General features: G+C 42.2%; 1 long non-coding RNA gene across 1 annotated transcript, besides 1 other annotated feature; it reads left to right on the plus strand.

The window, feature by feature from the left end:
• Positions 1–12,680: 12,680 nt before the first annotated feature.
• LOC124907884 (uncharacterized) lies at positions 12,681–14,943 on the plus strand. The gene is made up of 2 exons (XR_007087229.1): positions 12,681–12,911; positions 13,188–14,943. It is a non-coding gene; the product is annotated as an uncharacterized LOC124907884 (long non-coding RNA).
• Positions 20,621–21,228: an enhancer, noted in NCBI's record as "H3K27ac-H3K4me1 hESC enhancer chr2:128221175-128221782 (GRCh37/hg19 assembly coordinates)". NCBI's record gives its function as "activates a minimal SCP1, AML or CMV promoter by ChIP-STARR-seq in naive H9 embryonic stem cells {active_cell/tissue: H9 hESC(naive)}" and the evidence as "EXISTENCE:reporter gene assay evidence [ECO:0000049][PMID:30033119]".

Consider the following 21,744-nt stretch of genomic DNA (forward strand, 5'->3'; position numbering starts at 1 on the left):
TGTATGTTTTCTTACTGTTGAGTTGTAAGATTTTGTGTGTGTATCTATATGTTTTGGACACCCATCCAAATATATAGGTATTTTGCAAAGATTTTCTCCCAGTCTATGGCATGTCTTTTCATTTTCCAAACTATCTTTCGCGGAGCATGTGTTTTTAATTTTAATGAAGTCCGGCTTATCAATATTTTCTTCCATAGATTGTGCCTTTGGTGTTGTATCTAAAAAGTCATTGCCAAACCCAAGGTCATCTAGATTTTCTCCTACATTTTCTAGAAGTTATAGTTTTGCATTTTTCATTTAGGTCTATGATCCATTTTGAGTTAATTTTTGTACAGGTGTAAGGTCTGTGTACGGATTTTTTTTTTTTTTTTTTTTGAGACAAGGTCTGGCTGTGTCCCCCAGGCTAGAGTGGAGGGGTGTGCTCTCAGCTTACTGCAACCTCTGCGCTCAAGCCATCCTCCTACCTCAGCCTCCCAAATAGCTGGGACTACAGGCGCATAGCACCATGCCCAGCTAAGTTTTGTATTTTTTGTAGAGACGGGGTTTTGACATGTTGCCCAGGCTGCTCTCGAACTCGTGAACTCAAGCAATCCGCCCTCCTTGGCCTCCTGAAGTGCTGGGATTACAGGTGTGAGCCACCACACCCAGCATGGATTCATTTTTGCATGTGGATATCCAGCGGTTCTAGCACCATTTGTTGAAAAGACTATCCTTTCTCCATTGAATTGCTTTCGCTCCTTTGGCAAAGATCAGCAAACTTTATTTGTGTAGGTCTATTTCTGGGCTCTCTTTTCTGTTCCATTGATCTATTTGTCAATTCTTTCACCAATACCACACTGTTTTAATTACTGTAGCTTTATAGAAAGGCTTGACGTCAGTATCAGTTCTTCAATTTGTTCTTTTCCTTCAATATTGTGTTGGCTATCCTGGCACCTTTGCCTTTTCATATAAACTTTAGAACTGCTGGGCGCAGTGGCTCACGCCTGTAGTCCCAGCACTTTGGGAGGCTGAAATGGGATGATCACTTGAGGCCAGGAGTTCGAGACCAGCATGGCCAACACAGCAAAACTCGTCTCTACTAAAAATACAAAAACTTAGCCAGGTGTGGTGGTGCGCACCTGTAATTCCAGCTACTCAGGAGGCTGAGGCAAGAGAATCGCTTGAACCTGGAAGGCAGAAGTTGCAGTGAGCTGAGATTGCACTACTGCACTCCAGCCCGAGTGACTTTATAAATAAGACTCTGTCTCAAAAAATAAAAAATAAACTTTAGAATCGGTTTTCCAATATCTATAAAATAACTTGCTGGGATTTTGACTGGGATTACATTGAATCGATCAAATTGCAGAAGAGACATCTTGACAACACTGAGTCAAGATCTCTGTGATGGGATGGATATCTCTCCATTTATTTAGATCTTTGATTTCTTTCATCAAAGTGTTGTAGTTCTCCTCATATAGAACTTTTACTTATTTTGTTCAATATATACCTAAGTATTTCATTTTTGGGGGTGCTAATGTAATGGTATTGTGTTTTTATTTTATTTTTTTCTTTTTGAGATGGAGTTTTGCTCTTGTTGCCCAGGCTGGAGTGCAATGGCACAATCTCAGCTCACCGCAATCTCTGCCTCCTGGGTTTGAGCAATTCTCCTGCCTCAGCCTTCTGAGTAGCTGGGATTATGGGCATGTGCCACCACACCCGCCTAGTTTTGTATTTTTAGTAGAGATGGGGTTTCGCCATGTTGGTCAGGCTGGTCTTGAACTCCCAACCTCAGGTGATCTGCCCGCCTCAGCCTCCCAAAGTGCTGGGATTACAGGTGTAAGCCACTGTGCCTGGCCTATGTTTTATTTCAAATTTGACTTGTTTATTGTTGGTATAGAAGAAACAATTGACTTTTGCATATTAACCTTGTGATTAATATGCAACCTTGCTATAATCACTTATTCATTTCAACTAAATGAAAATGAAAATTGCAATGCTGAATTGCAAGCTGGCTATAATCACTTATTCATTCCAGGAGGTTTTTGTTTTTAATTCTTCAGGATTTTCTACATAGACAATCACATTATCTGTGAACAAAAACAGTTTTAGCTCTTCCTTCTCAATCTGTATGCCTTTCATTTCCTTTTCTTGTCTTATTGCATTAACTAGGACTTCCAGTGCAATTCTGAATGGTGGTTCTGAGAAAGGACATCCTTTACCTTGTTACTGATCTTGGTGGGAAAACATCTAGTTTCTCACAATTAAGTACGATGTTAACTGTAGGGTTTTTGTAGATGTTCTTTATTCAAATTGAAGAAGTCTATTCCTAGTTCTCTGAGAGTTTCTGTTATAAATGGGTGTTGGATTTTGTCAAATGCTTCTTCTGCATTTATTGATATGATCATGTGGGTTTTCTTCTTTAGCCTGTTGATATAATGGATTACATTAACTGATTTTCAAATGTTGAACCAGACTTGCCTATCTGGAATCAATCCTATTTGGCCATGGTATATAATTCCCCTTATGCATTATGCACTGTTGGATTTGATTCACATATATATGTGTGTGTGTGTGTGTGTGTGTGTGTGTGTGTGTGTGTATGTGTGTATACATAAATATATATATAAATATATATTTATATATATACACACATACACACACACACACACACACACACACACATATATTTTTTGAGATGGAGTCTCTCTCTGTCGCCCAGGCTGGAGTGCAGTGGTGCGATCTCAGTTCACTGCATCCTCCACCTCCCAAGTTCAAGCAATTCTCCTGCCTCAGCCTCCCAAGTAGCTAGGATTATAGGTGCACACCACAACACCCAGATTTTGTGTGTGTGTGTGTGTGTGTATTTTTAGTAGAGACAGCATTTCACCATGTTGGCCAGGCTGGTCTCAAACTCCTGACCTCAAACGATCCGCCTGCCTTGGCCTCCGAAACTGCTGGGATGACAGGCGTGAACCACAGCACCCAGCTTGATTCACTAATATTTTATTGATGATTTTTGCATCTATGTTCATGAGACATATCAGTCTGCAGTTTCCCATTCTTGTAATGTCTTTGTCTGCTTTTGGTATTAGGCTAATGCTATCTTTATAAAATGAGTTCAGAAGTATTCCTTCTGCTTCTTTTTTCTGGAAGAAGTGTTTGTTGTTGTTGTTGTTTTTGGTTTTTGAGACAGAGTCTCACTCTGTCACCCAGGCTGGAGTGCAATGGTGCGATCTCAGCTCGCTGTAACCTCTGCCTCCCGGGTTCAAGTGATTCTCCTGCCTCAGCCTCCCAAGTAGCTGGGATTACAGGTACCTGCCACCACACCTGGCTAGTTTTTGGTTGGTTTTTTGTTGTTGTTGTTGTTGTTTGTTTTTGTTTTTTTGAGACGGAGTCTTGCTCTGTGGCCCAGGCTGGAGTGCAGTGGTGCGATCTCAGCTCACTGCAAGCTCCACCTCCCAGGTTCATGCCATTCCCCCGCCTCGGCCTCCCGAGTAGCTAGGACTACAGGCGCCTGCCACCACGCCCGGCTAATGTATTTTTAGTAGAGACGGGGTTTCACCATGTTAGCCAGGATGGAATCAGTAGTGATGATTTCTTTTTCACTTCTGATATTAGTGATTTGGGTCTTCTCTTTTTTTTTCTTAGTTAACCTGGATAGAGTTTTAACCCTTTTGTGAATCTTTTTAAGAACTAGCTTTTGGTTTTGTTGATTTTTCTCTATTGATTTCCTGTTTTCAATTTCAGTGATTTCTCCTCTAATTTTTATTATCTTTTTTTCTTCCCTACTTCGGGTTTACTTTGCTCTTCTTTATCTAGTTTGCTAAAGTGGAAGCTTAGATTGCTGATTTTAGATATTTCTCATTTTCTAATATATGTATTCAGTGATCTAAATTTCCCTCTAACACTGCTTTTGGTGCATCCCACAAATTTTGATAAGTTGTATTTTCATTTTAATTGAAAATATTTTAAAATTTATCTGGAAACTTCTTCTTTGTCCCAACATGTCATAAGTGTGTTGCCTAATCTCCAAATATTTTGGGGTTTTCTAGCTATCTGTTATTGATTTATAGCTTAATTCCATTGTGGTCTGAGATCATACTTTGTATAATTTCCGTTCTTTTAGATTTATTAAGGTGCGTTTCATGGCTGAGAATGTGGTCTATCCTGGTGAATGAATGCTCCAAGTGAGCTTGAGAATGTGTATTCTGCTGTCATTGGATGAAGTATTCTATAGATGTCCATTAGATCCAGTTGATTGATGATGCTGTTGAGTTCAACTATGTCTTTGCTAGTTTTCTGCCAGCTGGATCTGTTAAATAGAGGGGTACTGAAGTCTCCAACATAAAAATGAGTTTGTTTATTTCTCCCTGCAGTTCTATCAGTTCTTGCCTCATCTTGGGACACTGTGTTGCTAGGTGCACACACTTTAAACACTGTTATATCATCTTTGACAACTGACCCCTTTATGGCTATGCAATGCCCCTCTTCATCCCTGATAACATTCCTTGCTCTGAGGAAGTCTACTTTGCCTGAAATTAACACAGCCACTCCAGCTGTCTTTTGATTAGTGTTAACATAGTATACTGTATCTCCATCCCTTTACTTTTAATCTATTTCTTTATATTTAAAGTATATTTCTTCCATTTCTATTCATTGCCCTTGATTTGTTTTGTTCTTTCTAGCCTTTTCAGGTTGTGTGTGTGTGTGTGTGTTGTGTGTGTTTTGCTTTCTCTGGTTTTAATCGAGCATTTTATATTATTCCCTTTTTACTCCTCTCTTATCATACAAATTATACTTGTGGGGTTTTTTAATGTGTGTGGTTTCCCGTGACTTTGCAGTAAATATTTACAACTAATTCAAGTCTTCTTTCATAAAACACTTTACCACTTCATGGGTAGTGCAAATACCTTATGAAAAAGTATTCTCAATTCCTCTCTTCCATCTTTATAACACTGCTGTCATTCATTTATCCATAAGCTGTAATCACTATTAACTGAAAAAACTTTACCTATTAGTTAAAAATGAGAAAGCTAAATTTTTATTTTACCTTCATTTATTTCTTCTCTAACACTCTTCCTTTCTTTATGTAGATCTGAGTTTCTGACCTACATAATTTCCCTTTCCTTCTGAAGAATTTAACACTTCTTGCGAGGCAGGTCTACTGGTGACAAATTCTCTCAATTTTTGATTGTCTGATAAAGTCTTTACTTCTCCTTCACTTAAAAAAAAAAACAAAAAAACCTTTATTGTATTTCCAGTATCTCCTTCACCTTTGAAGGATAACATTTGGTGAATACAGAATTCTAGGTTGATGGGTTTTTTTTCTTTCAACGCTTTAAATCCCATAAACCACTCTCTTCTTGGGTGCAGTTTCTGATGTGAAGCATGATATAATGCTTACCATTGTTCTTCTACAGATAAGATGTTTTTCCCCTCTGGCTTCTTTCTATATTCTTCCCATGTCTTTGATTTTTGCAGTTTGAATAGATATTCTTAGGTGTAGATTTTTTGGGGTATTCATCCTGTTTGGTGTTCTCTGGGCTTCCTACACCTGTGGTTTGGTGTCTGCCATTAATTTTGGAAAGTTCTGTTATTACTTCAAGTATTTCTTCTGTTTCTTTCTTCTCTGTGTGGTATTCCCATTATGTGTACACTATCCTTTTATACCTTTGGTATTTGTCCCACAGTTCTTGAATATTCTATCCCATCATTTCCATTACTTCTTCCTCTCTGCATTTCAATTTTGGGAGTTTCTATTGACATTCCTTGAAGCTCACTGATTCATTCCTTGGCCATGTCCCATCTATTCATGACTCCACTAAAAGCATTCTTCACTTCAGTTACAGTGTTTATTTTTATTTCTAGCATTTTGTTTTGCTTTTTTCCTTTTTTCTTTTTATAGAGACAAGGTCTCACTATGTTGCCCAGCCTGGTCTCGAACTCCTGGGCTCAAGCGATCCTCCTCAGCCTCCCAAAGTGCTGGGATTACAGGTGTGAGCCACCGCATCTGGCCATTGCACCTGATTCTTTCTTAGGCATTTCCATCTTTCTACTTACATTACTCCTCTGTTCTTGCATGTTAGCCACTTTTCTTATTTGAGTCCTTAGCATATTAATCAATTATTTAAAATTTTCTGTCTGATAATTCAAGCATCTCTGCCATATCTGTCTTATTCTGATGTTTGTTCTGTCTATTCAAAGTGTATTTGTCTCTTATAAAACATGATGTGTTGGGCAAAAGAAACTGAGGTAAACAAGCCTTTTGTGAGGCTTTCTGTACTTTACTTCTCCTTCACTTAAAAAAAAAACAACAAACCTTGATTGTATTTCCAGTATCTCCTTCACTTTTGAAGGATAATTTGGTGAATACAGAATTCTATCTGGCTAGGAGTTGGGCTGTGTTTACCGTTTGCTCTAGCTGTAGGTGTCAGAGGATAACATTTACTTTGGTGTTCTTGTCTGTGGCTTCCCTGTTGTCTTTGGGTTTCCCTAGAGTCTTCTTCATAAATCAGGTCTGAGATGTGCAGTTCAGTTGTATTCTCGTTATTACAGGAGCCCTGTTGATGTGTTAGTGAGGGGTGGAGGGACGAAGCATTCTATAGGTCTCAGTCTTTTAATGAACCTCTGCAGGGGCTGTGACCAACACAAGGGCTTCTCATTTGTCTTTCCCCGCTGGAGGTGGGCAGGAAGCCTAGAGGAGGGTAGAGTTGGGTATTTCTCTTCCCACATGTCAGGCTCCGGTAAAACAGTTTCCCCTGAGGACAGACCTTGTTAAGAAGAGAATGCTCTGGGTTACCTTTTCTTTTCCTCTACCAGAAGCAGCAGGGAATTTTTCTCTGATCTTTACTGTGACAACTTGGTAAAGCAAAACAAAACAAAAAACTGTGTGGGGCCCTGTAAGACTGGCTCCCCTGGTATTTTTAACTCTCTCATGGAGTGCCCAGCAAATCATCAATTAAGTTTTAAGTTTCCCTACCCCGGTACTGGTTCCTGTGGAGTTTTCTACTCCTAGGCCTCTGCTCCCGTAAGTTCTGGTTCTCTGTATGTGCTTCTCTGTCTCTCCATTTTGAGGACAGCAGTTTGCCCTGTGGCCTCAGATCTCTGGTGGATCAAGAAAAGTTGTTGATTTTCAGTCTGTTCAGCGTTTTTCTTGTTGTGAGGTTGGGGGTGATGACTGCTAAGCTCCTCACATGCCAACTGAAAATGAACAGTGTCTTTTGAAGAATGACAGTTTTTAATTTTGAAATAGTCCAATTTATTTTTTCCTTTATAGGGTTTTTTGTGTCATATTTTAAAACCCCTGACAAATTCAAAGTCACGAAGATTTTCTCCTAGAAGTGTTACGGTTTTAGCTCTTACATTTAGGTCTGTGATCCATTTATTTCTTTGTGTGTGGTGTGAGCTAAGGTCAGAGGTTTAATTTTTTATATATCCAGTTGTAAAGATTTCTTGTGACTATCATCCTTTCCTCATTGAATTGCCTTGGCATCTCTAGCAAAAGTCATATGTACATGAGTCTTACCTGGACACCTATCTGCTCCATTGATAATCCGCTCCATTGATTTCTTTGTCTCTATGCCAACATCACATTGTTTTCACTGCTGAAGCTTTATAAATCTTTAAATAATGTAATTCATGCAGCTTTTAAACTTATTTTTCAAAGTTATCTTGGCTAGTCTAGAGTTTTTTGCATTTACATATACATTTTAGAATCAGCTTATCAAATTTTACAAAAAAGCCTGCTAGTACTTTGCTTGGTATTACAGTAAATTTGTAGATCAATTTGGGAGAACTGATATCTTAGCAATATTGAGTCTTCTGAAACATGAACATAGCATACCTCTCTATTTATTTAGGTCTTTAATTTCTCACAGTAACTGTATCTTTCAATGCAGAGGACTTACACATCTTTTGCCAAAGTTATTCATAAACATTTCAAAATTTTGATGCATTTTATATATTTAAATTTTTTTCTTCAGCCTGTCTCCTTGCTGAGATGCTATTTTTTAAACATTTAATTTCCAATTGCTTGTTGCTAGTTCACAGACATATGACTGAATTTTGCTATTGACATTGTATCCTGCAACTATGCTAAACTAACTTATTAGTTCTAAGAATTCTTCTGCAGGTTCCATATTTTCTACATAATCATGTTGTTTGTGAATAAAGACTGGTTTATTCCTCATTTCCAAACCATATGACTTCCTTAAACGTTTAGAATTCTCTAGTAGAGACATCTTGGTTTGTAGTTTTCTTTGTGGGAAGGTTTTTAGCTACAAATTCAGTTTCTAAAAATACATATAGGCATATTCAGGCTATTTCTTCTTGAGTTAGCTTTAGTAGTTTGTGTTTTATAAGGAATTTGTTTAGGTTGTCAAATTTACTGGCATAAAGTTTTTCATAATATTTTTTGTCCAATATATACAGAATAGTGATATTCCTTCTCTTATTCCTGATCTTTTGTTTTGAGACAGAGTCTCGCTCTGTCGCCAGGCTGGAGTGCAGTGGTGCAACCTCGGCTCACTGCAACCTCCGCCTCCAGGGTTCAAGTGATTCTCCTGCCTCAGCCTCTTGAGTAGCTGGGACTACAGGCGCCCGCCACCACATCCAACTAATTTTTGTATTTTTAGTAGAGACGGGGTTTCACCACACTGGCCAGGATGATCTCCATCTCTTGACCTCGTGATCCACCCGCCTCGGCCTCCCAAAGTGTTGGTATTACAGGCACATGCCACCACGCCTGGCTAATTTTTGCATTTTTATTAGAGACGGGGTTTCACCATGTTGGCCAGGAGGTCTCGATCTCTTGACCTCGTGATCCGCCTGCCTCGGCCTCCCAAAGTGCTGGGATTACAGGCATGAGCCACTGCGCCCGGCCTCCTGATATTGTTAATTTGTGTCCTCTGTTTCCTGATCAGGCAGTGCTGTATTAATGAGTCAGATAGCTTCTCTGTGTTGCCCCTCTATTGTTTACTTCTTCAGGGCAGATTTCAAAAATCCACAGGCACCAAACTCAAAGTTTGACACATCCAATAGCTTCAAACGTAGCCCATATAAACTAATTTTTAGCCATTTAGAGCCTGTCTGCTTTGCATGCCCCATGAAACTGCACCCAACATCTGCTAGCCACAGACAAAATAAACCTGGTAGTACAAGATTCCAAGCCGCAGCTGCCCTTCAGAAATTGGATCCAGATACATGGTGCTGCTCAGTCACGTCATCTGACACATAAGCCCCTCCCTGGCAGTCCCCTCCTCCTTGAGTCCCCTACCCTCCGGTACTTCTGAGTGGCTATCCTGGGGCTGTAACCTCTGGATGGCCTCGTCCCTCATGGGACTTCCCTTACATGCCACCCTGTCAAAGTGTTGCCAAATAAAGCTCATCGTTTGCTATTGCTAAGTAATGGTCAGATCTTTTTTTCTTGGTCAGTCCTGAAATCCCCCTGTTGTTTCTGAGACAGAGTCTCACTCTGTCACCCAGGCTGGAGTACCGTGACATGATCTCAGCTCGCTGCAACCTCTGCTTCCTGGGTTCAAGCGATTCTCCTGCCTCAGCCTCCTGAGTAGCTGGGATTACAGGCGTGCACCACCATGCCTGGCTAATTTTTGTATTTTTGGTAGAGACGGGGTTTCACCATGTTGGCCAGGGTGGTCTTGAACTCCTGACCTCAAGTGATCCTCCTGCCTCGGCCTCCCAAAGTGCTCTGATTACAGGCATGAGCCACTGTGCCCAGCCAGTCCCAAAATCCCTTGAACTCGCTACAAGGGGTGGTGAAGAAAGGGGAGGGTTTTGGAAATGGTTAAGAAATTGATATGGGGGCCGCCCAGCCAGTAGGACAATCAATTGGCAAAAGAATCCTGGACAGTCCCAAGTGGTTGGAACTCAGAATTTGGAAGCTTTCCACTCAGTTTGTATAGCACTGCTGTGTGCTCTATGGCACTCTATATTTGTTTGGTTTCCCCCAGACACTCATTAGCTTGGGCAAGTGGTAGCACCAGTATTTGAATGAACCCACACACTGGAACTGATCTTTGGGGCGGGAGGTTTGGGGTTGCCCAGGAGGGAGGTCAGTCCACCCGCCTGAGTCCTCCACTAGGCAGTTGCTGGACATTATAAGACATTTGGGCTTGAATAGTAAAAGGGGAGGATGGCATGTACCTGCACTGAGAGCAGACTACCCCTGACTCCCTAACAGTGTCCTGTTGGTTTAGGGAACTCTTAGAGAAGAGGATGCCCTCATCCCTGGAGACTGTGATAGCAGGTGAATGAACTGACAAGGCAGAGACATCAGGCCAAGGCTGGTCTCCTAAGCACAGCTGGAGCGATACCTCTGCTGCTGGGACCTGCTGTGCCCAACCCTTGTGCTAAGCCAGCTAAAGCATTACTTAAAGTGACTAAAGACAAGGAAGGTCATATCCCTGACCCTCGCAGGACTCTGAAGATGGTGGCTGTCCTACTGAACAGGTGCTCCAAACCACGAAACACGGGTCAAGCTCTATTGCTTCTTACCAGGATGCCGCTGGACAGGAGGCAGGGGCTTGAACTCCCAGGAAGGAAGAGCCTGAGGGTAGGACCCTGTGGAAGAGGACTGGTGTCCTCTAGAGGAAAGGCAGAGTGACAGCACCATGACAGTGATAAGTGGCAATCAATCCACCATCTGCTTTGCCGGTGACCACAGCAAAGTAATAACAACTGAGAAGACAAAAAGGGAGGACCAAGAAGGAGGGGACAACTCTTGCCTGGAGGAGAAAACATCTTCTCTCTCGCCCTGTGGCCCTGTTTCTCCTAACCCAGGAACCAAAGACAAAGGGGCTGGCTGGCTGTCTAGAGTGTTCTGGCGGGGAGGGAGCTCCACCTAAAGGGCTGAAACTCAATGGCTGGCTGCCCCAGTATGGAATGGAAAAATGGTGTCCCTGCAAAAGCATCCTGCACAATTAGTGAGGAAGGTGGGAATGACCCCCAGCGAAGGCTTTGGACCCTGGCCCACAGATACCTTGTTGATGGGGATTTTTAAGGCTTGGAAGGCTGCTGACCCTATGTTAGCATAGGGTCTTAAGGGTTTGGGCAGACTGTCAATGGAAAATGTTAGCTGAGGCCAAAGGTCTTGGTCAGCTGGGGATGTAGAAGTGGGCTTATCAGACGACAGGCTGAATGCAACACAATGGTGTGGCAAGCCCTGAGCAGCTTAAGGGAGTCCTGACTCCATCTGCTTGTTTCTTAGGAGAGCTTCCGACAAAGTCCTCTTCAGGGGCAATGATACTAATACTAAGACAATTCAAGGGGCCATAGCTGCCTGGACTTACTGGAAACTTAGAAAAGACAAACTCAGAGTGCTGCCCATGAATTCTACAAACAACACCCTACCTGGCCTAAATCCAAATTACTATGAACAGTAAGACTTCCCCTCTCCTAAGCCAGACAAGCTTCCTACAGCCAGGCATCTCCTTAAATGTGAACCCTGCAATGAACAAGAAAGGTTACTTTGGATCCTAAGGAGGGGGGCGCTCAAGATTGGATGATCTCTAGTAAATTGGTTTAACAGTTCCAATAATTACTAGGGTTAGACGACAATTCTCAGCAGGTGTCTCCTCTGGAAACAGCCCCTCCTTCATATCTGGCCGTGTCCCCCATACGGATCCAGTGGTCCATGTTCATGGAAAACAGACCCTTCTGGTAGACAATCGCCCTTTTACCTTTCTCCACGTTAATAGTAATCTGGGCAGGGCGCAGTGGCTCATGCCTGTAATCCCAGCCCTTTGGGAGGCAGAAGTAGGTGGATCACTGGAGGTCAGGAGTTCGACACCAGCCTGGCCAACATGGTGAATCCCCATCTCTACTAAAAATACAAAAATTAGCTGGGTGTGGTGGCAGGCACCTGTCGTCCCAGCTACTCAGGAGGCTGAGGCAGGAGAATTGCTTGAACCCAAGAGCGGAGGTTGCAGTGAGCCGAGATCACGCCATCGCACTCCAGCCTGAATGACAAGAGCAAGACTCCGTCTCAAAAGAAAAAAAAAAATAGTAATCTGGACTCCAAAAAATAAACAACACTGGGTGACCAAATCTCATATTACAGGAAATGCTCATGCTTTAAAGGGATCCGTGGACTTTGTACCCTTGCTTGAACTAAGTCAGCGTGACAGGCTGTAATCCTTCCAAGGGGAATGGTTTGGGAGGATTAATTAAAGGGATAATTACCCACTTAACTGTTAGTATTGGCCTGGTTTTGCTACAATGTGCACCCCATTATTGGAATGGATCTCCTCAGTCACTATGTAACTCACGGAACAAGCCCAAGTCTTTCACGCTATTGGTGGGTGCCAGGGGTGAACTTTCCCCTCGTGGTGCAGGTGGTAAACATGCTACCTTACCGCTGAGGCGGGGCATGGAAGGATTACTGCCTGTCACAGCTCACTTAGTTCAAGCAGGGGTGCGAAGTCCACAGGCTCACCCCCACCCTTTCTCAGAGAGCTGGTTTCATATGGCTGGATTCTTTTGTCACAGTCTGCATTTCATCCTAGGATTGTCCTGATTCCCTAAATGAATTGTATTTTTTTGAGACAGGGTCTGGCAGCCTCGAACCCCTGGAGGCTTAGGTGATCCTCCCACCTCAGCCCCCAAGTAGCTGGGACCACAGGCTCAGCTAATTTTTACTTTTTTTTGCAGATATCAACCTCTCTATGTTTCCTAGGCTGGTCTCAAACTCCTGGACTCAAGCAATCCTCCTGCCTTAGCCTCCACAAGTGCTGGGATTACAGGCATGAGCAACTGCATCCGGCTAAACAACCTCTCTTCTTGCAACACTGTTTCCTTGTGAGCTCATTAACATGCTAATTACCACATTCCACAGGAAGATGGATTACAGAGCAATAAGACAGGCTGGGTTCACCCTGGAACGTGACCAGTAGTGACAGCCTCTAACAATGACACAGGTGGGGACCACTATCGGAAGATGGAGATTCTGGGGAACTGCTACCAGCTGCAGGGCTGAGAGTGACATATCTGACATTTGTTCATTGTTCATCTGTTCATACAGTCATTCTTGCATGAGTTTACTGGACACCTGCTGTGAGCAGGCACTGAGTGGCATAAAAATTCCTAGAACAGTCTCATCAGAGAAAAGACACACACAGAAAGAGAAATTATACTACAATGCAGTTATGGAAACTCATTCAACAAAATTTTACTGAATGCTTACTATTTGTCAGGTACCGTTATCGATGCTGGGAGAAGAGAAAAGGACATCATTTTGCCCTCAGGGAGCTCATGGTCTAACGGAGAGAGAGACATGTGAACAACTACAACGTCTGCGGTCTAAGAAAACACTAAATTGGAGACGTGTTCAAAGCAGTGCAGGGGAGGGAGCGGAGTGAGACTTCCGGGGTCACCCAGAAGGGCTTCCCGGCAGGTAAGTTGCAGCTAACCCACACAGATGTTAATTACAGCAAGAAAAGATCTTTCACAGTGCTCCCTGTGCGTCAGGCAGGCTAGAGGTCTTGTCAAAAGTATGGCATATGTATCACATGCAAAATGATTTGAAGTAGAATGTGGACCAATTTTTAATTTTTTACTTATGCATCTAAATGTGCATTACAAAAAAATATAATGAGAAAACCAAACTTTCACCAATATGATTGCTCAGAGTGAGGCTAAAGGAATGAGTTTTAAAACTGATTTGAATCACAAATAGTGCTTAGATGTGGAGAGCATCTTAAATGTGGCTTGCCAATGACTGGATTTTGGAAAGCACCGATATGCGCATCTTTTTTTTTTTTTTTTTTTTTTTTTTTTTTTTTGAGATGGAGTCTTGCTCTGTCGCCAGGCTGGAGTGCAGTGGCGTGATACCGGCTCACTGCAATCTCCATCTCCTGGGTTCAAGCGATTCCCCTGCCTCAGCCTCCCCGAGTAGCTGTGACTCCAGGCACGCACCACTATGCCCGGCTAATTTTTTGTATTTTAGTAGAGACAAGGTTTCACCACGATGGCCAGGAAAGTCTCGATCTCCTAACCTTGTGATCTGCCCACCTTGGCCTCCCAAAGTGCTGGGATTACAGGCGTGAACCACCGCACCCGGCCACATGCATCTTATTTTAGTGAGATGAGATGTAGGAGTTAGCGAGGTAGGGAAAGGGAAGAACAGTAGACACAAGGAACACCAACTCAAAGCACACAGGAGAGAGTGCACGGGCTGCCTGAGAACAGGTGGTGGTGAAGCACGGTGGGCTGCGGGGCACGCGGAGGGCTGGAGGAGTGTGCGGGAGCAGAACCCCTGCTTCTGTGTTCCACTGCCTGTGTAAACTTCTCAGGTCGGTTCCCATGGTCATGTCTCTCCAGGAAGTTTCTCAATGGCACACACCATGTTACCCTCCCTTATGTCAAGCTTGTCCAACCCGTGGCCCAGGATGGCTATGAATGCAGCCCAACACAGATTTGTAAACTTTCTTAAAACATTATGAGATTTTTTTTTTTTTAGCTCATCAGCTATCATTATTGTATTTTACATGGAGCCCAAGACAATTCTTCTTCTAACACGGCCCAGGGAAGCCAAAAGATTGGACTTCGCCACTTTAAGATAAGCGGTTGTTGACTTTAAGACAAAAAAGGACACTTTATAATGACTAAAAAAATCAATCCATCAGGAATACACACCATTATAAACATAATGTACCAAACAACTGAGCACCAAAACACATGAAGCAAAAACTGGTAACACTGAAGGGAGAAACAGACAACTTAACAAAAGTAGTTGAAGACTTCAGTGCCCAACTTTCAATAATGGACGGAACAGCTAGGCAGAAGATCAGCAAGGAAACAGAAGGCTGAACAAGCTACACCTACAGACCACTGCAGAACACCCAATCACAGAACACACATTCTTCTGAAGAGCACATGAAACATTTGCCAGGAAACATCAAATGCTAAACCATAAAACAAGCCTCAATAAAATTAAGAGGACTGATATCACACACAGTCTGTTCTGTGATCAAAATGGAATGAAATTAGAAATCGATAATAGAAGGAAATTTGAGAAATTCATAAATATGTGGAAATTAAACAACTCCTAAATACAAATGGGTGAAAGAAGAAATCAGAAAATTTAACAGTACTTGAAATAAATGAAAACACAATATACAGAAATTTATGGGATGCAGTGAAAACAGTACGTACAGGGAAATGTACAGCTATAAACACCTATATTAGCCAGACATGGTGGCTCATGCCTGTAGTCGCAGCTACTTGGAAAGCTGAGGCAGGAGGATCATTTGAGTCCAGAAGTTTGAGACCAGCCTGGACAACATAGCAAGACCTCATTCCAAACCAAAAAAAAAAAAACCCCCAAACCCCAACTATATTTAAAAAGAAGAATGATCTCAAATCAGGAATTGAAACTTCCACTTAAGAAACAGAAAAAAAAAGTAGCAAGCAAAATCCAAAGTAAGCAGAAAGGAAATAATAAAGATTAAAGCAGAAATAAATAAAACAGAATAGAAAAAAATCAAGGAAAATCAATAAAAGTAAAAATAGATTATTTTAAAAGATCAACCAAATTTCTGAACCTTTAGCTAGACTGACCAATAAAAAGGAGAGAATGCAAATTACTAAAGTCGAGAATAAAAGAGAGAGGCCAGGTACAGTGGCTCACACCTGTAATCCCAGCACTTTGGGAGGCTGAGGCAGGAGGATGGAGACCGGCTTGGGCAAGATAGCAAGACTCCATCTCTTAAAAAAAAAAGGAAAATTAGCCAGGCATGGCTAGGCGTGGTGGCTCATGCCTGTAATCCCAACACTTTGGGAAGCTAAGGTGGGAGGATCACTTGAGGCCAGGAGTTTCAGACCAGTGTGGGCAACATAGTGAGATTGCCTAAGGAGGTCAAGGCTGCAGTCAAGCTATGATTGAACCACTGCACTCCACCCAGAATGACAGAGTGAGACTCTGTCTCAAAAAAAAAAAAAAGGCGGGGGGGCGAGGGAGGCCAAGGCAGGAGGATTACTTGAGGCCAGGAGCTCAAGACCAGGCTGGGAAACATAGTGAGACCCTAGCTCTACAAAAAAGTAAAACAAAAATGAGCTGGGCGTGGTGGCTTATGCCTGTAGTCCAGCTACTCAGGAGGCTGAAGCAGGAGGATCACTTGAGCCCAGGAATTCGGGGCTACAGTGAGCCATGATCAAGCCACTGATTTCTAGCCTGGGTGACACAGCAAGACCCTGTCTCTATAAAATAACAACTAAGAAAGAATAAAAGAGAGGGAATCAATGCTGACCTTACAATAATAAAAGGGATAATAGGGGAATCGTTTAAATTGTATGCCAACAAATCCAATAACTAAGATGAGATGCAGAAATTCCTACAAATAAACAAACTATCGAAAAACTTTCCACAAAGAAAATGTCAGACACAGACGGTTTCAATTGTAATTCCACCAAATGTTTAAAGAATTAATACAAATTCTTCACAAACTTTTCCAAAAATAGAAGATGGAACATTTCTAACTCATTCTGTGAGGGGCCAATATATTCTGATGTTAAAACCAGACAAAGACATCACAATAAAACTGCAGATCAATAGCCCCTAAAAAATAAAGATGAAAAAATCCTCAACAGAGTACTAGCAATCCAATTCCAGCAACTTTTTTTTTTTTTTTTGGAGATGAAGTCTTGCTTTGTCGCCAGGCTGGAGTGCAGGGGCGCAATCTTGGCTCACCGCAACCTCTGCCTTCTGGGTTCAAGCGATTCTCCTGCCTCAGCCTCCCAAGTAGCTGGGACTACAGGCATGTGCCACCACGCCCAGCTAATTTTTTGTATTTTTAGTAGAGACGGGGTTTCACCATGTTGGCCGGATGGTCTCGATCTCTTGACCTCGTGATCTGCCCACCTTGGCCTCCCAAAGTGCCGGGATTACAGGCATGTGCCACTGACCCTGGCCAGCAACTTATTTTTAAAAAGATTATGCACTGTAACCAAGCAGAATTTACCCCAGGAATGCAAAGTTGGCGTAACACTAAAAAAAATTAATTAATGTAACATGTCAATACAATAGGATAAAAACCACATGATCATCTCAATAGATGCAAAGTACCTGACAAAATTCAATACCTCTTCATAATAAAATAACTCAAACTAGGAATAAAAGGCAACTCCTCAACCTGATAAAGGGTATCTATGAAAAATATCACAGCTAACATCATCCCTACTAGTGAAACACTGAAGGCTTTCCTCTTAACTTCAGGAACAAGATTAAAATGTACGTATGTGCTTGTTATTTCTGTTCATTGCTATACTGAAGGTTCCAGTCAACTAGGCAAGCAAAAGAAATAAATTCATCCAGATTGGAAAGGAAGAAGTAAATTTATTTCTATTTGCAGAAGATATGATCTTGCATATAGAAAAGCCTAAAGAATCAACTAAAAAAGTATTATAATTAATAAACAAGTTCAGGCCAGGTGCAGTGGCTCACACCTGTAATTCCAGCACTTTAGGAGGCCAAGGTGGGTGGATCACTTGAGGCCAGGAGTTTGAGACCAGCCTGGGCAACATGGTGAAACGTCGTCTCTACTAAAAATACAAAAATTAGCTGAGCATGGTGGTGCATGCCTGTAATCCCAGCTACTTGGGAGGCTGAGGCAGGAGAATCACTTGAACCTGGGAGGCAGAGGTTGCAGTGAGACCAGATTGCACCTCTGCACTCCAGCATGGGTGACAGTGCGAGACTCCATCTCAAAAAAAAAATAATTAATAATAATAATAATAAACAAGTTCAGCAAGCAAGCAGGATACAAGATCAATACAGAAAAACCAACAGTATTTTATACAATATTGAAAAATCTAAAAATGGAATTAAGAAACAACATTTACAATAGCATCAGAAAGAATACTTAAGAATAAACTTAACAAAAAATGCAAAACGTGTACTCTGAAAACTACAATTGTTGAACAAAATTAAAGAAAATCTAAATAAAATGGAAAAACATTCCATATTCGTAAGTCTGTAGACTTAACAGTTAAGATGGTGTTGGGCGTGGGGGCATGCACCTATAGTCCCAGCTACTCAGGAAGCTGAGGAGAGAATCGCTTGAGCCCAGGAGTTCATGGCTGCAGTGAGCTATGATCACACCACTATACTCAGCCTGGCAACAGAGCAAGGCCTCATCTCAAAAAAAAAGTATATATTGTCAAGATGGCAACATGCCCCAAACCCAAATTGATCTATAGATGCAATGTAATCCCTATCAAAATCCCAGTTGGCTTCTTTGCAGCTATCAACAAGATGATCCTACAATTCATATAGAACTTTGGGGGACTCAGAACAGCCAAAACAATCTGCAAAAGAATGAAGTTGAACGATTTACACTTCCTGATTTCAAATCTTCTTACAGTGTTATAATAATCAAGAGAGCGTGTCGCTGGCAAAAGGACAGACATACAGATAAATGGAATAAAATGGAAAGTCCAGAAATAAACCCTTACACATATATGTTCAATTTATTTTTAAAAGTTAAACAGACTATTTTTAAAGCAATTTTAGGCTTACAGAAAAATTGATGGCCGGACAAGGTGGCTCACACCTGTAATCCCAGCACTTTGGGAGGCTGAGGTAAGAGGATCTCCTGACACCAGCAGTTTGAGACCAGCCCGGACAACATAGTGAGACCCCGTCTCCATCTCTACAAAAAATGGAAATAATTAGCCAGGCATGGTGGTGTGTGCCTGTAGTCCCAGCTACTCGGGAGGCTGAGGTGGGAGGATTGCTTGAGCCCAGGAAGTCGAGGCTGGAGTGAGCTGTGATTGTGCCCCAGTACTTCAGCCTGGGTAACAGAATGAGACCCTGTCTCAAAAATAAAAATAAAATAAAATAACAACTCAGCAGGAAGTACAGAGAATTTCCATATGTCCCCCTCTCCATGCACAGTTTCCTATAGTATTAACATCTTGCACTAGTGTGGTACATTTGTTACAATCAATAAGTCAATATTGACACAGTTATTGCTATCAAAGTTCAATTAAATTTTGACAAGGGTGCCAAGACCATTCAATGAAGGAAAGAGTTTTTTCAATAAATGAAGCTGGAACAACTGTATAGTCACATACAAAAGAATGATTTTGGACCCCTACGTCATGCCATATACAAAAATTAATGCAACAGTGCTGTAAAATCTCTTAGAAGAAACACAGGAGTAAATCTTGCATTAGGCAATGGATTCCTAGTTATTACACCAAAAACACAGGCAAATAAGAAAAAAATAGATACACTGAATTCCATAAAAATTAAAAACTTCTGTGCTTCAAAGGATACTATGAAGAAAGTAAAAAGACAATCCATAGAATGGGAGATCATTTTTGCAAATCCTTTACCTAAGGAGCTTATATACAGAATTTATAAAGAACTCCTATGCTCCACCAGAAAAAGACAAATAACCCAATGTTTTAAATGGGCAAATAATCTGAATAGACATTGGTCCAAAGAAGAGATACAAACGGCCAAAGAGCACATGAAAAGATGCTCAACATCATTAGCCATCAGGGAAATGTCAAAACCACAATGAGATGCTACTTCACATCTACTGCAAGGGCTGAAACAACAATAACAGAAAACAAACCTACAGAAAAAAAGTGTGAGGATGTGGAGAAATGGGAATCCTCAAACGTTTGCCGGTGGACATTTGCTGGTGGAAATGTAAAACAGTGCAGCTGCTTTGGAAAATGGTTTGGCAGTTCATCAAAAGGTTAAAAATGCAGTTACCATATGATCTGGCAGTTCCATTCTTAGTTATAAACCCAAGAGAACTGAAAACATGTCCACACAAACACTTGTACATGAATGTTCATAGCAGCGTTATTGATCACAGCCAAAAAAGTGTGAACACAAATGTTTATCAACTAATGAATGCATAAGCACCATGTGGCATATCCATAAAATGAATATTATTCAGTCATTACAAGAAATGCTACAATATGGATGACCTTAGAAAAGCTTATACAAAGGGAAAGAACCCGGACACAAAAGGCGACACATTGTAGGATTCCATTTATATTAAGCGTAAAGAATAATCAAATCCATAAAGTAGATCAGTGGTTGCTGAGGACTGGTAGGAGGGGAAATGGGGAGTGTTATGGGACTTCTTTTTGGGGTGATAAGAATATTTAAACATGGATTGTGGGGATGGTTACATAACTGTGAATATACAAAAAAAAAAAAAACCATGGAATTACCTCTTTAAAATGACTGCAGCATGTGAATTAAATCTCAGTAAAGCTGTTACATTAAAAGAAAAAGCTAAAGTAAAAACAATATCTTTCAAGAATTGTATTGCAATCATATTACACCACGTGATGAAATCCTCAAAAACGTGGGGCAGGTGGTAAATCCTGGCCAAGGCTCCTCGAGCCAGGCCGGCTGGCAGTGCTGCATCGTGCTGAAGGCGCTGAGGTTGCAGCGGATGCATTCCGGGCCAGTGATATGATGTGGACAGGAAAAGTCTTTTGTTCTGGGAAAATGGAGGACTGAAACCTCTTCATGTCTTTTTCCCAGGCCCTGATTTAGGAAGACCAAAACAGGGACTTCTACAGTAGCAGCTTAATCAGCAGATGCTGGGTGGTCGCCTCTGCACATGGCCTGGGGGGCGGGGCGCCTTACCGCGTCACACTGGGTGGATGGGCCTGTGTGTGGCCTCTCTCCAGCTGTGGCTGACAGTACTCACTCAGCCCAGGCTTCCAGGCCCTCCTGGGCCCTCCTATCCACTGAAGGAAATGGGAGATGAGTGGGTAATGGAAAAGCCTTTGGAGTCAGATGTAAATCCATGACTTGACCACTTATTGCTGTGAGACCCTGGACAGCTGGATATAGAGTTCTTGTTCTAGCATCCGCCCTGGGAATCCCCGGAACTGGGCCTCTTACCGACACCATTGCCTGTAATCCACAAACCTAGGAGGTAGGAGTGGCTTTCTTTCGCAGATCCTCCCTCTCCCTGAGTCCCAGAGTTACTGGGCAAACTCGGTTGACCACAGGCATCCAGGCGGTCTCAACCTGGTTTTGTTGTTTTGACACAGTTGTCATTTTTGTAGTTACCCTTGTAATGTAAAAGGTTTTCTTTTTTCCCTTTTTCTTCCCCCCAACCCGCCCATTTTCTTTTCTCTCCTCCCAGTCTCCTGCCTTCCTTTCACCCTCCAAAAGAAGTCTAACTATTAGAGTTGGCAGCAAAATTTGAAGAAAGTGGTTTAAAACTCAGAGAGCCAGGGCTGGGGGTAGTGGCTCACACCTGTAATTCCAGCACTTTGGGAGGCTGAGGCAGGTGGATCACCTGAGGTCAGGAGTTCAAGAGCAGCCTGGTCAACACTGAAACCCCATCTCTACTAAAAATACAAAAATTAGCTGGGCATGGTGGCGCATGCCTGTAATCCCAGCTACTCATGAGGCTGAGGCAGGAGAGTCACTTGAACCCAGGAGGTGGAGGTTGCAGTGAGTGGAGGTCATGCCATTGCACGCCAGCCTGGGCAACAGAGAGATACTCAGTCTCAAAAAAACAAAAACAAAACAAGTCAGAGAGCCAGAAAATAGGAATTTTAGAGTAAGGAACTGGGGCAATTACATGCTCTGGCAGCGTTTAAGAATCTGGGGGCCCCAAAGCCAGCCCTGGGCATTTCTTGGGTATCATGTACCTCTCTGTGGGGGCAGTGCTTCAAAGCCTCCCACTCAGGAGATCTTTGTCAGCAGTGTGATGAGTGGGAAGAGAAAGGCGTACAGCAGTGTGCATGCCAGGCCCCATATGC

This window comes from Homo sapiens, chromosome 2 (genome assembly GCF_000001405.40).
Source record: "Homo sapiens chromosome 2, GRCh38.p14 Primary Assembly".
Lineage (NCBI taxonomy): Eukaryota > Metazoa > Chordata > Mammalia > Primates > Hominidae > Homo > Homo sapiens.